Below are 18,199 nucleotides of genomic sequence, written 5' to 3' on the forward strand. Positions count from 1 at the left end.
ATCTCGGACTGCAGCGAGCCCGCGGCAGGCGGGCAGGGGGCCGCGCGGCAAGACCTCCCCGCCTCCCTCCCGGGCCCTGTCCGCCGCGGCCGGGGCCTCTGCAGCCTGCGCAGGCCGATCCGCCCGCCGCCCCGGCTCGCGCCCACCGCCCACCGCCCACCGCCCAGCGCCCGCGGCGGAGCCCACCTGAGTACCTGGAGAGCGGGCGGCAGCACTGGCCGCACGGGGTCGCTGCGTGTGCGCCGCCGGCCCGGGTAGGGCTTCGGGGCCCGGCCCCCGCAGTGCCCGGCGCGTGGACAGCGCTCCGCATGGACAGCGCTCGGAGCCGGGCCGGGCTGGTCCTCCACGGCTCCGCCCCGGCCAGGGGCCTGCGGCGCAGAAAACCGACCCGGGGCCTCGGGGCCACCGCGCGCCAGGCGAACGCGCTAGCACGAAAAGCGGGCCAACGCCGCCTCTGGGGACGCCATCCGGGCGAGGGTGGGATGCCGCGCCACCGCCCGAGCGTGCCCGGGGGCTCCCAGCGCCATCACCACGCAGGTGCCCGGGGGCCCCTCCGCGGAGCCGGCTGCCGCCCGGCTGCAATACTCAGCCTCCGAGGGACTGGGCGCTCCTGAGGAGCGGGAGGACGACGGAGCAGCGCCCGGTCCTGGAGCACAACAGGAATCCCAGGACCAAACCCATGTGACGCGGCCACGCCCCAACGCCCGGCGGGGGCCCTCTGCTGCCCAATCCCCGGATCCCTGGTTCTCATGGCAACCCTGAAGAACCCCTTGTTCCCTCCACTGCCTCCTCTCCTCCCCCACAGCCCCCCCGCCTGATGGGCAAGGACGCGCACACTGGCCACTCTGACGATGCCGAAAGCCCTCCATGTCTACCCGCTACGCCGCATTCGCAGACAGGCGGGGGACATCGCGGCCGCGGCAAGCTAGAGATGCCGCCTGCTCGAGCAACCTTCCACCTGCAGGGCCGGCCAGTTCTACTCTTCCAGGATCACTCTCGTCTCACCCTTCTCCCCAAAATGTCAGAGCAAGAACCAGGAAGGGAGAGGCTCTTTCTGGAAGCCACAGGCATAACGTTACTGAACAACGAGGACAAAGTAGGGTCCCATTTAAACTGAGAGTCAGCGAGGGAAAGAACAGATCCTATACATACCAAGCATCTGCTATGTGCTAGTCACTTCACACACACACACACCCCACACACACCTCACACACACACCACACACATCCCACCCACCCACTCACATACATACACACCACACACATACATACACACCACACACACACATACACCACACACACACATCACACATACTCCCCCACCCCCGCACACACATACACCACAGACATACACACGAGCCTGCAATGATGGAAGCAAAACAGAACGTTTGGAGATATTCACTGCCGTTTACAAGGCCACAGTAAGCAGTAAGCAGATTTTCTACTCCCCTCTAGCAGAGAACATGGTAGGAAAAGCTAGACATTGTAGACAGCAGTAAGAACCTAACAGTCAACAGTGGACAATGGATTCTGAAACTGAGATCCTATACTGCATTCACACACGTTAAGGGGCAGGGCGCTGGGAAAACCCCATCTCAGTCTGGGGTTCAAAGAGTGGAAAAGCTACCCTAGTCCAACTGCTCGGAGGCCAGGTCAGGCCCCTGAAGGTCACTGGAGGAGGAGGCTGGAAAAAGTGCAGATATGCACTCCAAAAGGAGAGGTTCCACGGTGGTCATGACCACAAAATTCCAATATGTTTAAGTCGATCAAACAAAAGCAGAGTTAAGGCTGGTTCTGAAAGCAGCCAAGAGCAGTTTTCAACACAACACAAAGGGTAACACAAGGCTTTCTTTTCTCACAGTCCGGGCTGACCACATATGGCCTGGCTACTGCAAGAAACATTGAAGGTGTTAGCGCTTTTGACTCTAACTGCGCACCCCTCAGAGAAGATGTCACATAGTGAACATCGCAAGGCACAGAATGGGAAATGGAAGCACAGAATCAAACCCTGAGATTCGGGGAGAAACCAAAGTGTGGAGAAATTATGTAACTTATCCAAAGTCCAGAGCAGGTTACTGACTGGGAGAACTTGGCTTTCCTTCCAGACTCCAGATATGAGACTTTTCTGCGGTCTGACACAGTGGCTTCTTCCACCTCTGCAGTCAACCCCACAAAGGTGGCTCGAGTGTTCCTCTGCCTCCCTGCCCAGCAGCTCCCAGCCTGGATGGTGAACTCCTTTGCCTGAACATCCCACGCACCCTGCCATCTCCTGGGCTAGAACAACAGGTTGTGCAGGACAGAGGGCTTCCCTGCCACACTCCCCTCTATTACAAAATGCCAGAGGTCCCAGTTCGAAGCAGCTGTTCCTGGATGTGGGAAGAGCAAGAGAGAAATGATCTAATGATGGACAAGGAATCTTGAAAAGCCAGACCTTCACTGAATGGCTGACAGGACACACATTTTGCTTTACTAGAACAAGAACAGAATCTTTGAAAAGGCATAAAAGCCAGTGGTCAAGAAGTAACTGACAGCAAAGGCAAAAGAGATGAAGGCTAAGCTGGAAAGTGGAGATGAAGCCTGATGATATACTCAGTGGAAGCCCAGAAAGTCTCAGGAATGAGAACTACCATTCACCTCTGGAAATGGGAAACGTAGAGTCCAAAACAAGAAGATTAATCGGAAGTGTCAGGAATAGCTGGGCCCCATTTCATCCCGGGTCCTCTCCCCAGCTCCATCAGCTAGGTGACTTCTTTTCTGGAAGCAGGGACACAGGTCTCTGGACCAGGATCAGCAGACACAGCCATGCCTTTAGTCCCAGAAAGATTTGGTGGATCACATGCTAGCTGCCATATGAATCCCACCACCATCCCCAGCAGCTCCTGGAGCAGCACCTCCAACAGAACTGAAAGAGGCTCCTGCAGAGCTGAGAAGAGACCCAAAAGCATGAGCCCCACAACAAGCAACCAGGCGTCCATCCACAGAGGCCACAGTTAAATGCTCACTCACACAGGGCTCCTGTCAGCTTCTGAGCAATGTCCTTTTGAAAGTGGGAAGACCCCAGACAGCTAAGCGAAGCCTCTAAGGTGAAAGATGTGGCCAAATTGCATGGGACAAACACTTCCTATGCCTCACCTCCCTGGGCCCTGTCCACAGCTCTATTGAGCCGCATCTGATGGGACCCCTATGTCCTGCAGCACAGCCTCCTCCTACCAGGGCTCTGAAGAGCCTGTACACCCAGCACCTGCAGGGATGTAGCCCAGATGCAACCCTGGCCCATGGTGACGGGCACTGACAGGAGATACATCCTCCACCCCAACCCCTTCCCAGCACTGTCTGGAGGACTGGGAGCTCGTGACACAAGCCAGCCCCACATGTGGAACCATTGGCTTCACTCAATTCTAGGCACTGCCCACCGCGGGCACCCCGCCTCACCCTGCACCCAGGTTCCCTCCTTCCAGCCTCCCTCCACCAGGCTGGCACACCCTCCTACAATAGAAGCACAGAAGGCTTTGCCATAGGCTCTGCTTTCCGGGTAAGCTGGACACAAACAAACAGAAAAATTAAAAGTAAATCATTTACAAATGGGAGAGAAGAAACGATACACAAAAAGTTTTTAAAAATTAATATCTACAAATGAGATAGACGTATCTATGAAATAAGAATATTATGCCATTAAAAAAAGAATACTCACTTTGAATGTCAATAATGTGTCAATAGTCAACTGTAACAAATGTACAGGATTCCCAGTAGTGGGAGAGGCTGTGCGTGTGTGGGGCAGAGGGCATGTAGGAAATCTCTGGACCTTCCATTCAGTTTTGCTGTAAACCTGAAACTGCTCTAAAGTCTGTTTTTTAAAAAGAATATAAATATATATATAGAGAGAGATCCTAAGAAATTCAAAATGAAAATAGAAACAAAATCCAACAGAAAAGTTAAAAGGTCAAATTGAGGACATATCCCAAAACCTAAAAACAACACAACAGACACAGACTATTAGATAAAAAATACAGAGAACCAATCCAGGTGGCTAAAAACCAAATAACTGCCATCCTAGAAAGAGAGAAGAGGAAAATGGAAGAAAAGAAATGAAAGGATTAATTCAAAAACATGTCCAAGACCAGAAAGATCTGAGATTCCAGCTTCAATGGGCCCTCAACATACCCCACACACAAAGTGGAGACCCAACAAGACTCATCTTCAAGGAACTTCGGAACAAAGGCACAGAGAATATCCTACAAGTGTCCAGACATGACAAAACAAAACAAAAAACAAACCAAAAAACCACTCTGGTACTCTTTCATACACAGAATCAAGAATCAGAAGAGCTTCTTTCTCAACCCCATTCTGCCTAAAGGCAATGGAAGCCTCTAAATGTTTTAGGGAAAACTATCTTTAATTTAGAAATCCATATTCAGACAAACCGTAAACTGTGAGAGTAGATGGACATTTTCCCAGACATGCAAGGTCTCAAAAAGTTGACATCTTGTGCACCACTTTTTGGAAGCTTCTATAGAAAGTACTCCATCAAATTTTGGAAATAAACCAAGAAGAAAAGTCATGAGATCCAAGAGAAAGGCAAAGGGGCATTCCTGGGACAATGGAGAAGAAAGACTCCAAGACAACAGCTGTGCAGGGAGCCTCAGAGCAACCCAGCCTGCTGAAAGCAGAAAGGCACACAAGGAACTGCTTCCAAAGATAAAACTGCAGATCACCTTAGGCCTTGGAAAAGAGATTCACACAACTCTGTAAGTTTGGAGGGAAGAATGGTAAGTACATTTTAAAAACTAGGCAAAAACAACTCCAGGAGAAAACAAAATGTCCTAGGAGAAAATCACAGTTATCACAGTATACTACATGGCTCAGCTATGAGCAGCATTAGGGGACCATCCCAACACTGCATACTGATGGAGCTGAATGGACCAGAAGAGACGATGAAGAGACAAGAGTGAGTGTAGGGTGGGGATGGGACAAAGGGCATCATCCTCACCTTCCATGGAGTTTGAAATCAAGAATCACATGAAAAATGGGGCTCTGGAGAGCAGGAGGAGGAGGAGGAGGAGGAGGAGGTTGCCAGGAATCGCAATCTATTGTCTAGACCTCTTCAGAAATATGGAAGTACGTACAGAAAAAAATCTGCTGATAAGTTACTTCTGGGGAATTATTTCATCTTTAACCTATGTCTACATATCACTCTGATTTTAAAAATCCAAACTAAATTTTAAAATAGTTTGCTCTGGGTGTTGAGGAATTAGGAAACCAGGTGACCCTTCAGACGAAGAGAACAGAAACACTGTGTGATATGGACAGGCAAGGACAGCAGGGGGACAGTGCCCTGGGCAGGGACGGTGGGTCAGGACAGGGACAGCCTGTGTCCACTCACTGCCCTGCAGGCCTAGGTGGGGAGAAGGCCGGGGAGACCTGTGATGGAGAGATGAGGCGACAATGACACTAGGAAGCCCTCCTGACTTATCCCTCCTGCGTCGCTCCATCACCTCACTAGGATCGCAGGCCAAGACACTCAACGTTCTCCTCTCTGGAGGGGATTCTGTGAGATGCACGTGATTTTCTTCAGAAGAGGGAGTGCGGTACCCTAGAACAGACACCTGGAAGCTCAGGTAACACCCCTGCAGCCTGTCCTGGGCCAGGGTGGTGTGGCCAGGGTGAAAAGATGGGCGGGGGAGGTGCCCTCTGGCTCAAATCAGCCCATACGGGACAATTAGAGGGCACTGAACATGACCCAGCCAGCTCAACTTCCCACAGGATGTGAAGACCGTCTAGGAACAGCGATCTCAAGCAGGGCCCCAGGCTCAGCACCAGGCACTGTCCCTGGGCAGGAAGCTGTGGTACAAACTTCTGAATTTAAAAGTTACTCAATTCATGGTAGCTTCTCAAAGCAGGGAATCCAAAAATTATTCTATGAGGTATGTGGTATTATAAAGGTTTTTATACTAAAGGGAACTCTTCACTTACAAAAGGCTGGAAGCCACTGCCTAAATACTCCCAGGGATGAAAGTTAAAAATCAAATAAGTAAACTAAAGGCCCTGCACATCAGAGAAGTGGGGACCTGCCATCTCAGTGGGGCCCAGGTAGCTTGCAGTGAGCAGCCTTGGAGGTTCCTGACCCTCGACTCCCATGTGAAAGGACAAGAGAAGGTAGAAAGCGGGTCTTCAGCTATCCCTCATGGTCCTCTATTGCTCAGACGTCCCCTTGGAGCTCCCAGAGTGAGACCCCTGACAGCTCACAGACAGGACCAGACAGAGAGCAGTCCCCAACGCAGTGCCACCTGCACTGACCCAGCACATGAGGATCCCAGCCCCCAACCCCACATTAGCTCTAGTGACCTTAATGACACAATGATGAGGACCAACACACGCCAAAGTGCCAAGTACTTTGGGAAACCCATGTTAATAGGCAAGACTGCCACTGTTCATGCCCAGTTCCATTTACCTAATACAAAACCTTTCAAGAACTTCAGGGAGAAGCAGGACTGCCCACTAGCACAGCCCTGGATAGAGCTCGGAGCCACATCCCAGGGGCACATCAGCCTGACCAGGATAAGCGGTCCACAGTCATTTCAGTCCCAGCTAGGATAAGTGCCTCTGTAAGAGTCCAGACACCAACCGTGGGGGCCTGAAGACAAATGCCACAGGCTCCACAGGCCTGGAGACCAGAGATCTGTCTCCACACCCAATGCTGCTGCCCATCAGAGCTTACGCACTGCAGGGGTCTTCACAACTTCTGCTCCTGGTTGAAGGAAACCAATTTTTGACACCTGCTATTCACTATTATCTGGTTCAAATGGTTTGCAGCCAAGTGAAGTCTGCAGTACACCAGCTATCTTTGCTCTTAGAATTCTACCTGTGAGGAGTTCAAACTGTCACGCTAAACACAGTCAACAAAAGGATTCTTCTGAGCACTGACTGTGGCTCAAAGAACATTCAGATAAATTCAAACAAGATTTTGTGCAACTAGCATGTACAAAGCACTGGAAGACAAAAATACAAAAGCCAAGTCCCCTTTCTAACCAACCTTATAAATTAATAGCAAGCAGGATATCAAGTCCACAAACTGCTCTAAGACAAGGCTGACGGCAAAGTGCCTACAGACATCGCCACAAAGACTGCATGAGCTCTGCATCGTGCCAATCACACACATCACACCTCGTGCTACCTTCCCAACAAGCCGTGGGGATAAACACGCCTATGGCTTCCATTTTAACGGATCAAGTTGGTTCACTTGTTCAGCCTGGCCAAACTAGTAAGTAGTACAACCAGGAGTCAACTGAGGCAGTGTGCCTGCTGCCCTGGTCAAATAGAGCAGAAAAGAAACGATATGGTGGGAGGGGTTATTCCTCCCCAGCGCCCGTTCTCAGGCTTGACGTTAACAACAAAAAGTCCACTCTGTTGCTGGGTCCAGCCCAAATAATAAGCCCCTCAAATTAGGGATCTGAAAAGACTAGAAGAATCTCCCCAGAAATCCATATGTAAAGTAGATGGTTCAAAAATATGAATATTCTAATACAGGGGAAAAGAAAAAATCTCCTTAGAGTCACTATATCCTAAAAGCAAAAAAATCAGAACCACTCATTTCTACCTCTGAGATTATTTTTGATAACCCCAGGAAATGGCTTCTTCTGTTGCCATCTCAAAGGACAATCACACCATTTTTCAATCCATTATTAAAGAAGAGCCATCAGCCTGCCTTTCCACGAGTAAGCGGGTGGTTTTAAGCTTTGACTGCTTTTATCTCCCTGCAGTTAGCAGGCCCTGTGATCACCAGGAGCATGGACAAAAGCCTCCAGAAGACAAAAGTGCAGGAAAGCTCATTTCTCAGAGATCAGTTCAGAAGTGGTCCAGGTTGGGGGTGGGAGTCTGATGCAAAGGTGTCCCAGCCAAGAGGAACAAGGAGTGAAAACAGATACAGCTCCCTAAAAGTGTGCAGCTAAAATATTCACACAAATTAAATACCAGCCAGGGGCTGAATGGATCAGACCAGTTATACCCCTAATAGTATGCAAACTCTGAAAGTGATCCCTAGAACTCCAAAGTACCTGTCTGCCAAGTCTCACCCACCAAGTAGTTGGACGACCTTAATTTCTTCCATAATCTCCCACACTTCTGTACTTCTACAGTTATATAAAAAATAAAATAGCACAGGTTAAAAGAAAAGTCTCCACTACCAGGAAAAAAAAAAGTTTATTTAAACTTTGAAGGACTGATTACTCAAATGAAAGACAAGGCAAATATGTTCTCCTCACAAGCCATACAATGCCACGTTGGTTTAATAAACTGAGAAACAGACGCGGGGATTACGGAGCAAACGTGCAAAGGCACAGGCTTCCCCTCCAGGGAGCAGGACCAAAATCCCCTGCATTTAGCTCTGAGCTCTGACAGGCTGGCAACCTAACCCTAGATACAAGCTCAAATACATTCTACGATCCCGTAGGTTTCTCTTCCCCTTGCAGTTAAGAGTCGGACAGAATTCCAAGGAAATAGATTCCATTCCTTAAATTATGCCACCTTTAAAGCATTCGGTTTTACCAGATAAACCAATCAAGAATTTCTACAGCTCTAAAATGAAGCTGAAGGCACAATAGATGACTGTGTTCAAGCTGGAGTTTGATTTCTACACATAATATAGCCTGTACCCGGAAAGATCACCAAAATCAAGTTCTGAGCTAACTCTTCGAGTCTGACTCTGCTCTCTTCTCCTACTGGAGGCTGAGTAGACACAGACATAGCTCTTTAAACTGGGTCAGGGCTGCCCTTGGTCCCAGTCCTGGTGGCCATCACCATACAAAGCTCTGGACAAGTAGCTGGCATGAACCTGCCCAGTTCTGGGTTCCTGATCCACAAATGAAAAGCATTTTGAGTGGGCCAACGCTGCCCCAAAAGTGACCAAACAGATAATATGCAATAGATGACTTTAGGGGTACACAACTTTTCTAATTACAGTAAACATAACTACCACATCAAAACTCATGACTTCATGGATATCAAAATTCCTTCCCAAAATAAATGTGTATTTAAATGTAAAAAGTGAGTGAACTAAAAGGAAATATCTAGAATGCTCTGGTAACATGGCATTAACCTTGAAGGCTGGGAGCCCCCAGACCAGGCAATCATCATTCTCCGAGTGTGTGACTGGCAGGCTATACATACCTGACCCACGCCATTTCCCTTTCAGAAGTGGATGTACTTTTGCAAATAAAACACAAGACTAAAATGATCCAAAGCTTAGGTTCTAGTGACAGCTTTGTCACTTGCTGACAGTATGACCTCGGGCATGCCAATTAACCTCCTGAGCCTTGGTTTTCAGACCTGTAAAATGGGGATCAGGAGGTTGTAGAGGGGATTAAAAGCAACAAGGCTTTTGAAAGTGCCTTGTAAACTGTGAAATGCTACAGAAGTATCAGTCGCTACACTTCTCAGTTACAGGAGCAATGCCTGCTGGGCGTGTAACTCTGTCCTCAAATTCCCTCCCTGTAATCTGGGGATTGGCCTGTGTTGCCCTTCTCTTTCAAGTGCTCCCAGTAAAACTCAAATATTACATGCAGTGATCCTAGAGTTTTGATTTTTAAGAGAAAAACCTAGACATCTAGAATCATTCCTGGAAACATAGTTGGTTTTCAGTGCTTTTACTTAAAATACTCTCCTAAAAGACACTTCACCGCTGTCACAGCCAGAAGTCCCACTGCTGTAGAAACTCTTGATTCTAACTCTTTCCTCCTGGAAAGAGAGGAACTCGGGGTCAGCTCGTTAAAATATTGCCAGCATTGTGTTGTAAACCCTAGTCAACTCCGGTTGCTGCGCTAACAACATGTGTTCTTGGTAAAACTGCTTGAAACTTTAAATAGACCACCATTTCTGAAACTCGGGGGCTCCAAACGGCTGAATCAGCATTTTCAGAAACAAAGTGTTCTAGGCCTGGCCTTTTAAACAGCAGCAACGAGCAAGTTGTGCAATAACGCATATTTACTCACGAGCTCTCCTTGTTTTGGTCTTTCCCCCCTCCCCCCCATCTCTTGAATGAAACTGGGCACCAAGTTTGCAAGAAAATATTCTTTCAAACGCATTGTAAAGATCCAGGACCCTGTAAAAATCACCTGTGGCTCTCTTACATTACCCAACGTTTCGGTGAAAGCAAACCATAAAAAGTTCGCGTTTCTTCCAATCCCAAGAAAAGACGCACACAATAAAAAGTAAAGGATACCCTAATTTCCATAACGCACATGCTCCAAGGCAGTCGTCAGGCAGGCGTTTGGAGAGGCAATCAGCAAAGGCGAAGAGTTGCATCAGAAATTTCCTTCTGCAAACGGTACCGCTCTTATCACATTTCCACGGCTGGCGGGCGGCTAATCCGCGAGCCCTCAACTTGGTGTTAGGCCCCAGCGGCGGCTAACGGGTCACCAACAGAACCAAAAAAAAGGTCCTCCGTACGAGGCTGGGCCGGCTCGGGATTTGGGAGTGTCTGGCACCACTGTCCCGGACGCCCGGACGCCCGGGCGCGCGCGCCGCGGCCCCGCCGCGCAGTCGGAGCACCCGGGGCTGCAGGGACGCCTGGGCGCCCACCCTCCCAGGCGGCGGCCCCCAGGAGCGCGGCCTTGACCGCAGCCCCCGCCACAGCCCGCGAGCCGCCGGCGTCTGACAAGATGGTTCAAGAATGCACCGCTTGGACTCCACACCTCCCCCCAGGGGTCGGGAACGCAGCGCGGAGAGCCCCGCGGGGCGCCCGGCTGCCTCCGCCTCCGCCGCGCGCCCGCAGCCCCAGTCCCGCCTCCGAGCACCGCCCGCTGCGGGCCCGGGGCGCCGGAGCCCCCGGCCCGGAGGCGACGCCCTTCCGCCCGCCGCGCCTCCGCGGGGCCCGGCGTCCCCGGCCGCGGCCGCCCAGCGCTCAGACAATGACGGCGCGGGGACCCGCCTGGCCGTCCCGGGCCCCGCGGGGACGCCAACCACAAAGTAACTTGCCGCCGCGCTCCCCGCCCAACTCCGTACCTGCCGCGCGCGGCTCCCCGCCGCCTCCGCGTGGCTGCGGGCGACACTCGGCGTGGCCGGCGGCGGGCGCGGGTCCCCGCGGGGCGAGGCCGGCGCTCAAGACTGTCCCGGGCGCCCCGCGCCGCCGGCGCTGCCGCCACCCAGGGGCTGCGCGGAAACTTTGGGCTCCACCGGGTCTCCGAGCGCCGAGCCCGCCCGGCCGCAGCTCGCTTCCCTCTCTGCCTCCTCCCGACCTCCCCACCCCCTCGATGGGCTTTAAACTCGCCCGGCCCCGCCCGCCCTCCCCGCCTCTGCCGCCGCCGCCGCCTCCGCCTCCGCCTCCTCCCCCGGCTACTTTTCCTGCTCCTCCTCCCGCCGCCGCCGCCCGGACCGCTCGGCGGCCGCCAGCGCGGGAGGAGCCGGGGCCTGGGCGCAGGGCGTGGCGCGGGGGCGCGGGCCGCGGGCCGGACGGCCGGGGGGCCAGAAGCTCCCGGAGGTTCCTGCCCCGGGCTGCTGAGCGGGTTCCCCCCTCCTGCTGTCCTCGGGACTCGGGCGCGGGACCACGACCGCCGCGGCTCAGGAGGCTTCGCCAGTGAAAGGACAAATTGGACCTGTCCCGAAAGACAATTTATAAGCGAACTGTTTGAAACGCACAAAGTATTAACTGCGCAGTCCAGATCCTTTATCCTGGGCGCAGCAGGACGGGACGGAAGAGCTGGGGCTGCCCCGTACTCTGTCGTGGGCTGAAGGCACCCGGCCTGGGAAAAGGAAACCTGGGTTTGCTCACAGCCAGCCAGGTCTGGGGCCTCACCTCTTTGAGCCTCAGTTTGCCCCATCTGCGTATGAGTATCGAAGTGCGGGTGGAGTGAGAGGCCCTTCATTTTTTCTTAATGCTGCCAAGCCTGGTGTCCTTATCTTTACAATGGGCTAATAACGCCCGCCTGAGGGTTGGTGTCCTGGGGATTAAATGAGGTCATACTGGGAACATAAAGTGACTGCGAAAAAGACTCCCCTACCCCCCAATTGACGGAAGCCATTGTCGTTAGTGTGATTCTTAATATCTCTACCGAGTCAAAACTCTAATACACATAGCATAACGATAAGTATGTCTTTTCCTGGGTCTTGGCGTTCTAAACGCAGCTGCGACAATATCTTGCCTTCATAGAGCGTGCACTTTGTGCAAAACCTTCATGAATCCTTGCATGTAACCCCCACTGTGGCCCTCTAGGTGTTACTGTTAGAGTCCCACTGTGTACGGACTGGGAAACTGAATCTTGGAGAGGTTAAGTGACTTGCTGAAAGTCAAGTAGCTGGTAAGTGCAGAGCAAGGATTGGAAGCCATGTACGGTATTGTACCAAAGCCCCTCGTAGGCACCTGCTTCTAGCAGGAGTTATTCCACCTTAGACAGATGTTACTCATGGAAAGGTCATCCTTCCCTGTAACTGAAACAGACCTCCCTAAATTTTTGCCTATTGGTCCAAGCTCAGAAACACGTAAGATGAAAATCAAGAGAGGATGATATCAAAGGATTTTAGATTCCTAGAAGAAAGGAACACAGAGGACTCCTGTTGCAGACAAAGGACTCAAAAGAAAATTAAAGAACAGAAAACTCAGTTTGAGCCAACTTCTCACAAATGCATCAGCTTTGAACCTTCTAGCTTCTGCTGAAGGTCCAAACAGCAATCCATGCCTACACCAGTCAGATAGCCTGATAGGCAAGGAGGCTTTGATAGAGGTTTCAAAAGTTCCTTGATACATAGACATATGTTCTTTTGGAATCACTTGTGGGTAAATTCCATACACTATGGCCCCTTTACCCCTAAATACATTGATGTGTCTTTCCTAAGAGTAGAGATATTATGTGCATAACCACAATAGTCACCAAATTCGTAAATTTATATTGATAAAATACTTGTATCCAATCTAGGTCCATATTCCGGTATAGTCAGTTGATCTGACTATGTCTTCCATAGTATTTCTTTCCCTCTGTTACAAGATCCACTATTGAGGTCTAGAGTCAGGTATTGCATTTAGTTGTCTCAAAATGTATGGGTTTTCAGACATTACTATTCACAGAGAAGTGATCAAGATAAATGTCCTTAAGTGTTTTCCTGCTAGCATAGGTCTCTAGAATTCCTAGGACAGGCCCTCATTCCCTACATTTCCTGGCTCTCTGTAGACATCAGTGGGCAGAACCCATTCAGAGACACTTTCTGATGCAAGTTCATGAACTTGTCACTCTTGTGGCTGCAGAAGCTGCAGCTGTCCTCTGTGCAGTGATCCTGGATGAGCCAATCCTATATACAGATTGTATCTTATAGCCTTCCCTTCCCCCAAACTCCAGATGCCCCTGCCCACGCACAATGCTCCCTCTCAACAGGGTGGCAGCCACAGTGGAATCTAGCCATGCAGCCTATACGTTATCCTGGAGAGCTCAGCATACTGGGCAAGACAGGGAGGCTTGTAGTTCAAGCACTTCCCCAAGGGGAAACATATAAGCTGGAATTAGGTGTCAGGACACAGGATTCCGTGATAGTGAGAAATTCAATTATCTAAACATGAGCTAGAAGCCTCCTTCAGCTGAAAGTAGAGAATCTGATAGACTCTAATTTTTAATTAGTAATGAATTGATTAACATCTGTCTTCCCCTGTTGACTGTAAGCATGGTGACTGTGGCAACTCTGTGCCCCTTCACTAGTGTCCTTCCAGCAGGTGGAGTGCCTGGGACAGAGAGGGCACTAAGTGAATAGTCATTACTGGGGAATACTGTCCAGTGAATTAATTTCTCAGGAGCCTCTGAGACCTGGGCACTGTCTCAAACATTGCCAGTAACCTTGACAAAGGGAAAGTAGTCAGGGTGAATGGCACCCTGACAGCTAACTGCTTTGAGCAGCAGTGGCCCTCGCCTCTGCTCTCATGAGCCACTGCTAGTCACACGGCCCAGCCACCATCCCATGCGGCCCATGTGGACATGCGAGCACATGTCTGGAAAGCAGCCGCCTGCCCACCCCTGCAAGGGGAAGGGGGTAGTCTATAGTCATAATATAATCATAGTGCCTGCCCCAGAATACCTGAGGAGCCTGCTTGCACTACACATCCCTGGGCCCACCCAAGCTCTGGAGAGTTCACACTTCCAGGGTTCATCTGCAATTTTTTTTTTGAGACGGAGTCTCACTCTGTCACCCAGGCTGGAGTGCAGTGGCGCGATCTCAGCTCACTGCAAGCTCCGCCTTCCGGGTTCACGCCATTCTCCTGCCTCAGCCTCCTGAGTAGCTGGGGCTACAGGCGACTGCCACCACCCCCAGCTAATTGTTTTGTATTGTTTCAGTAGAGACGGGCTTTCACTGTGTCAGCCAGGATGGTCTCTATCTCCTGACCTCATGATCCGCCCACCTCGGCCTCCCAAAGTGCTGGGATTACAGGCGTGAGCCAACACGCCCAGCCCATTTTTAATAGACTCCTGCATGATGCACGATCTACATCCACACCAGTATTCCAAACACTCCAAAACGAGATGGACAGGCCACCCTGGAGTCTAGAGGTGGGGAGCCTGGCAGCATTCAAGGAAGGCTTCCCAGTGGTTGCCATGCCCCCATGGCACCCTAGAACATCAAAGATGGTAAGTTAGGCAAAGAGAACTGAAGAAAAGGCCTTTGGGGTTGAGGGACAGGCGTGTCTCTCAGACCAAACCCATGAAAGACCTTGGCTCCCTCAGGGCGCAGTACCAAGTAGTTGCATTTAGTCACAGAATGTTGCTGCTGGGTCTGGGGTTAGAGTTTTGATAACACACCAAGCTGGAGGGGTAAGAAGGGACTTATTTGTCAGATTTATATTTAACTATTTATACTTATTTGTCAAGTATAGGCTTATATGGCGATGAGAGCACCGGATATGTCTGTTATGGGGCCTACCAGCACAGTGCCCCCCAGCTAGCCCTGCTCTGTCTAGAGTTTCCCCACAACCCTGGTTTTCCTTGATTCCTAAGTACCAATTAAATTGGTCAGGGATGACGCTTGGCCCAGAGATTCCCATTCTGTAGGTAGGTGGGCCAGTGGGCGGAAGGGTGACCCAACCAATCAGAAGCCTGCACCTGGGATTCTGAACTTGAAGTACTGGTGGGATCTGCACAATGGAGACCAGGTGAGGAACGGCGAGTTGGGCTCAGCATAAGGATGGTGTAAAGTACAAAGACCCAAACAGATGCCGTCGTGCCTCCCGTCTCTCTGGGCCCAGGCTGGTACAGCTATTGTTTTGAACTTCCATAGAATTCCATTTTCCGTCATTGTTTATTTGTTTGTTTTGTTTTGATTTTGGTGGGGGGTTGGAGGGGGTAGGGACAGAGTCTGGCTCTGTCGCCTAGGCCAGACTGCAGTGGCGCAATCTCAGCTCACTGCAACCTCCACCTCCCAGGTTCAAGCAATTCTCATGTCTCAGCCTCCCAAGTAGCTGGGATTACAGGCATGCGCCACTATCCCCAGCTGATTTTTTATATATGTAGTACAGACAGGGTTTCACCATGTTGATCAGGCTGGTCTTGAACTCCCAACCTCAGGTGATCCACCTGCCTCGGCCTCCCAAAGTGCTGGGATTACAGGTGTGAGCCACCACACCTGGCCCCATTTTCCTTATATTGTCTTAATATCAACTCTCCTTTTCTGAAGTTGCTTGGATCAAAATGTCTTTACAACCAGAACAGAGGCTCACAGAAAGATGTTTATTCAGGCTGGTTACTTAGGTATAATTTGCTGACCAGAAAATTTATCATTTTTTAATGTACAATTTGTGGAGTTTGGAAAGGTATATAGTTATGGAACCAGTAAAGACATTAATACAAATAGTTTTCACCCCAAAAAGTTTTCTCATGCTCCTTGTCAGTCCCCCTTCCTACTCCAGGCAACTGATCCTCTTTCAGTTCTTAGGTTTTGCTTTTCTTTTCTTTCTTTCTTTTTTTGTTTTTTGGAGAGATGGAGATCTCCCTGTGTTACCCACGCTGGTCTTGAACTCTTGGCCTCAAAGCAATCCTCCCTCCTCAGCCTCCCAAAGTGCTGGGGTTACAGGTGTGAGTCACCACACCCAGCCATGTTGCTCTCAAGATTGTCATCTGAATGGAATCACACAGTAGTTAACTTGGCATAATGTCCTTGTGAATCATCCATGTTTAGTGACTGGATAGCATGATACTTTAATTAGGGTAGGTGTACATCCACTTGTTCAGCCATTCTCTGGCTGGCGAAAATTTAGGCTAGTACCAGTTTTGGGCAATTATGAATAAAACTGCTATGAGTATTTGGGTAAAGGTTTTTCTGGAAATGTAAGTTTTCATTTCTCTTGGGTAAATAACTAAAAGAGAGACCGCTAGGTCATATCTCAGTATATGTTTACCAGGAACTGTCAAACTATTTTCAAAGTGAGTATATTATTTGTGTCTGCACCAAAAATGTGTAAGAGTTCCAGTTGCTCTACATCTTGCCCAACACTTGCTGTTGTTTGTCTTTTTCATTTCTGCCATCCTGATATTGTGGGGGCAGCTTCTAATGTTGTGTAGTGGTATCTCATTCTGATTTTAATTTGCATTTCCTTCATGGCTAATAATGTTGAGCACTTCTTCATGTGCTTATTTGCTGTGCATATACAGTGTTTTGTATAGTGTCTATTCAAATCATGTGCCCATCTTTTTGTGTGTTTTTTTCTTATCATTGAGTGCTGAGAGTTATTTATATTACCAATCCTTTAGTAGAGATGTGTTTTGCCAGTATTTTCTCCATTCTTTTCACTTTTTAAATGGTACCTTTCAAACAGCAGAAGTTTTTTTATTTTTTTATTTTTTATTTTTTTATTTTTTTTGAGACAGTCTTGCACTGTCGCCCAGGCTGGAGTGGCACTATCTCGGCTCACCGCAAGCTCCGCCTCCCAGGTTCATGCCATTCTCCTGCCTCAGCCTCCCAAGTAGCTGGGACTACAGGTGCCCGCCACCACGCCTGGCTAATTTTTTGTATTTTTAGTAGAGACGGGGTTTCACCATGTTAGCTGGGATAGTCTCAATCTCCTGACCTCATGATCCGCCCGCCTCGGCCTCCCAAAGTGCTGAGATTACAGGCATGAGCCACTGCGCCCAGCCAGCAGAAGTTTTTTGTTTTGTAAGTTAAATTATCAATTTGTCCTTTCCTGGATTGTTTTTTGTATCCTATCTAAGAAATTCTTTCCTAGACCAATACTGCAGTGATTTTCTTTTATGTTTTCTTCCAGAAGTTGTATAGTTTTGGCTCTTACATTTAGAGATATAATTCAATTGTAACTGATTTTTGTAGACCGTGTGAAACAAGGGTGAAGGTTCTTTTTTGTGGCATATGGATGTCTGCTTGTCCCACTGGGTGATTTGAAGTTGTTAGGTGATCCCAGTTTTGTTTTAGAATGCTCGATCCAGCTACAGTGGAGCCAACAGACCAGTTGGGAGACTGGTAGGTGAGGATGATGTTGAGCTGTGACAGAGGGGAGGAACAATAATGAACAGATTGGGGTGAGTATAGGACGTATGTATCACAGCAAGTCTCTGCCCTTCTGGTGGCCCTGGGCTTAGATGAGACTGTGGCAGTGAGCACAGTGCCTGGCACAGAGGGAGGGAGGCACAGAGCAGGGAGAGCGCATGGCCATGTTGCTGCAGGAAGATTCCATCATGGAGCAAGCTCAGCACCCTCCCCCGGGCACTCTGGCTGAGACGTCTCCCTCTTAGTTGAAACAACACTGCACCCATTAGGATGCTTTGGGCTGCAGGGAACAGAGCAGAGCTTACCAGCCTTGTCCAGGATTTCTGTCCACGTCATTCTCAGGGCCATGGCTTTGCCTAATGCTTGCCCCGGTAGTGTCAAGATCACAATGCAGATGCAGTTCCAGGCGTCAGTTCCCCTGATAACTGTGTCCAAGGGCACAAAGGGGACATTCTCCTCCCTTGCCTCATGCCAGAATCCACTAGGAGATTTCTTCTCACATTTCAGGATCTAGAACATGGTCTCAGGCCCGTGCCCTAGCGGGAAGGAAGGTGAGAATGTAAGCATCACGCATCTTTAACTTCTGTATTGTGGGGGCAGCTTCTACCAGCAAGAAAGAAGGATCAGGGATGGGGGTGGCTGGTAAATGGACCACCAAAAGGACGTGGCCAATAGCAGATGGCCTTTTTGGCAATGAAGAGCTGAGAACCCCTCTAGTTTAGAAGGAGCTTCCTAAATAA

General features: G+C 50.0%; 1 protein-coding gene across 18 annotated transcripts in view; it reads right to left on the reverse strand.

Moving 5' to 3' along the window:
- GRB10 (growth factor receptor bound protein 10) overlaps positions 1-11,224 on the reverse strand; it is a 203,386-nt gene extending 192,162 nt beyond the window's left edge. For 8 of the 18 annotated variants that reach the window (XM_017012061.3, XM_047420243.1, XM_047420233.1 and 5 more), the window contains exon 1: positions 10,995-11,224. Coding sequence is in view for 6 of the 18 variants with exons in the window: in NM_001371009.1 (NP_001357938.1) it covers positions 195-310 (116 nt within the window). In the remaining 12 variants the exon portion in view is untranslated. Of the gene's footprint in view, positions 1-194; positions 668-10,212; positions 10,646-10,994 lie in introns of those variants that run through there. The other 10 variants (NM_001371009.1, XM_017012030.3, XM_017012031.3 and 7 more) reach the window with 3 other exon arrangements.

This window comes from Homo sapiens, chromosome 7 (genome assembly GCF_000001405.40).
Source record: "Homo sapiens chromosome 7, GRCh38.p14 Primary Assembly".
NCBI lineage: Eukaryota > Metazoa > Chordata > Mammalia > Primates > Hominidae > Homo > Homo sapiens.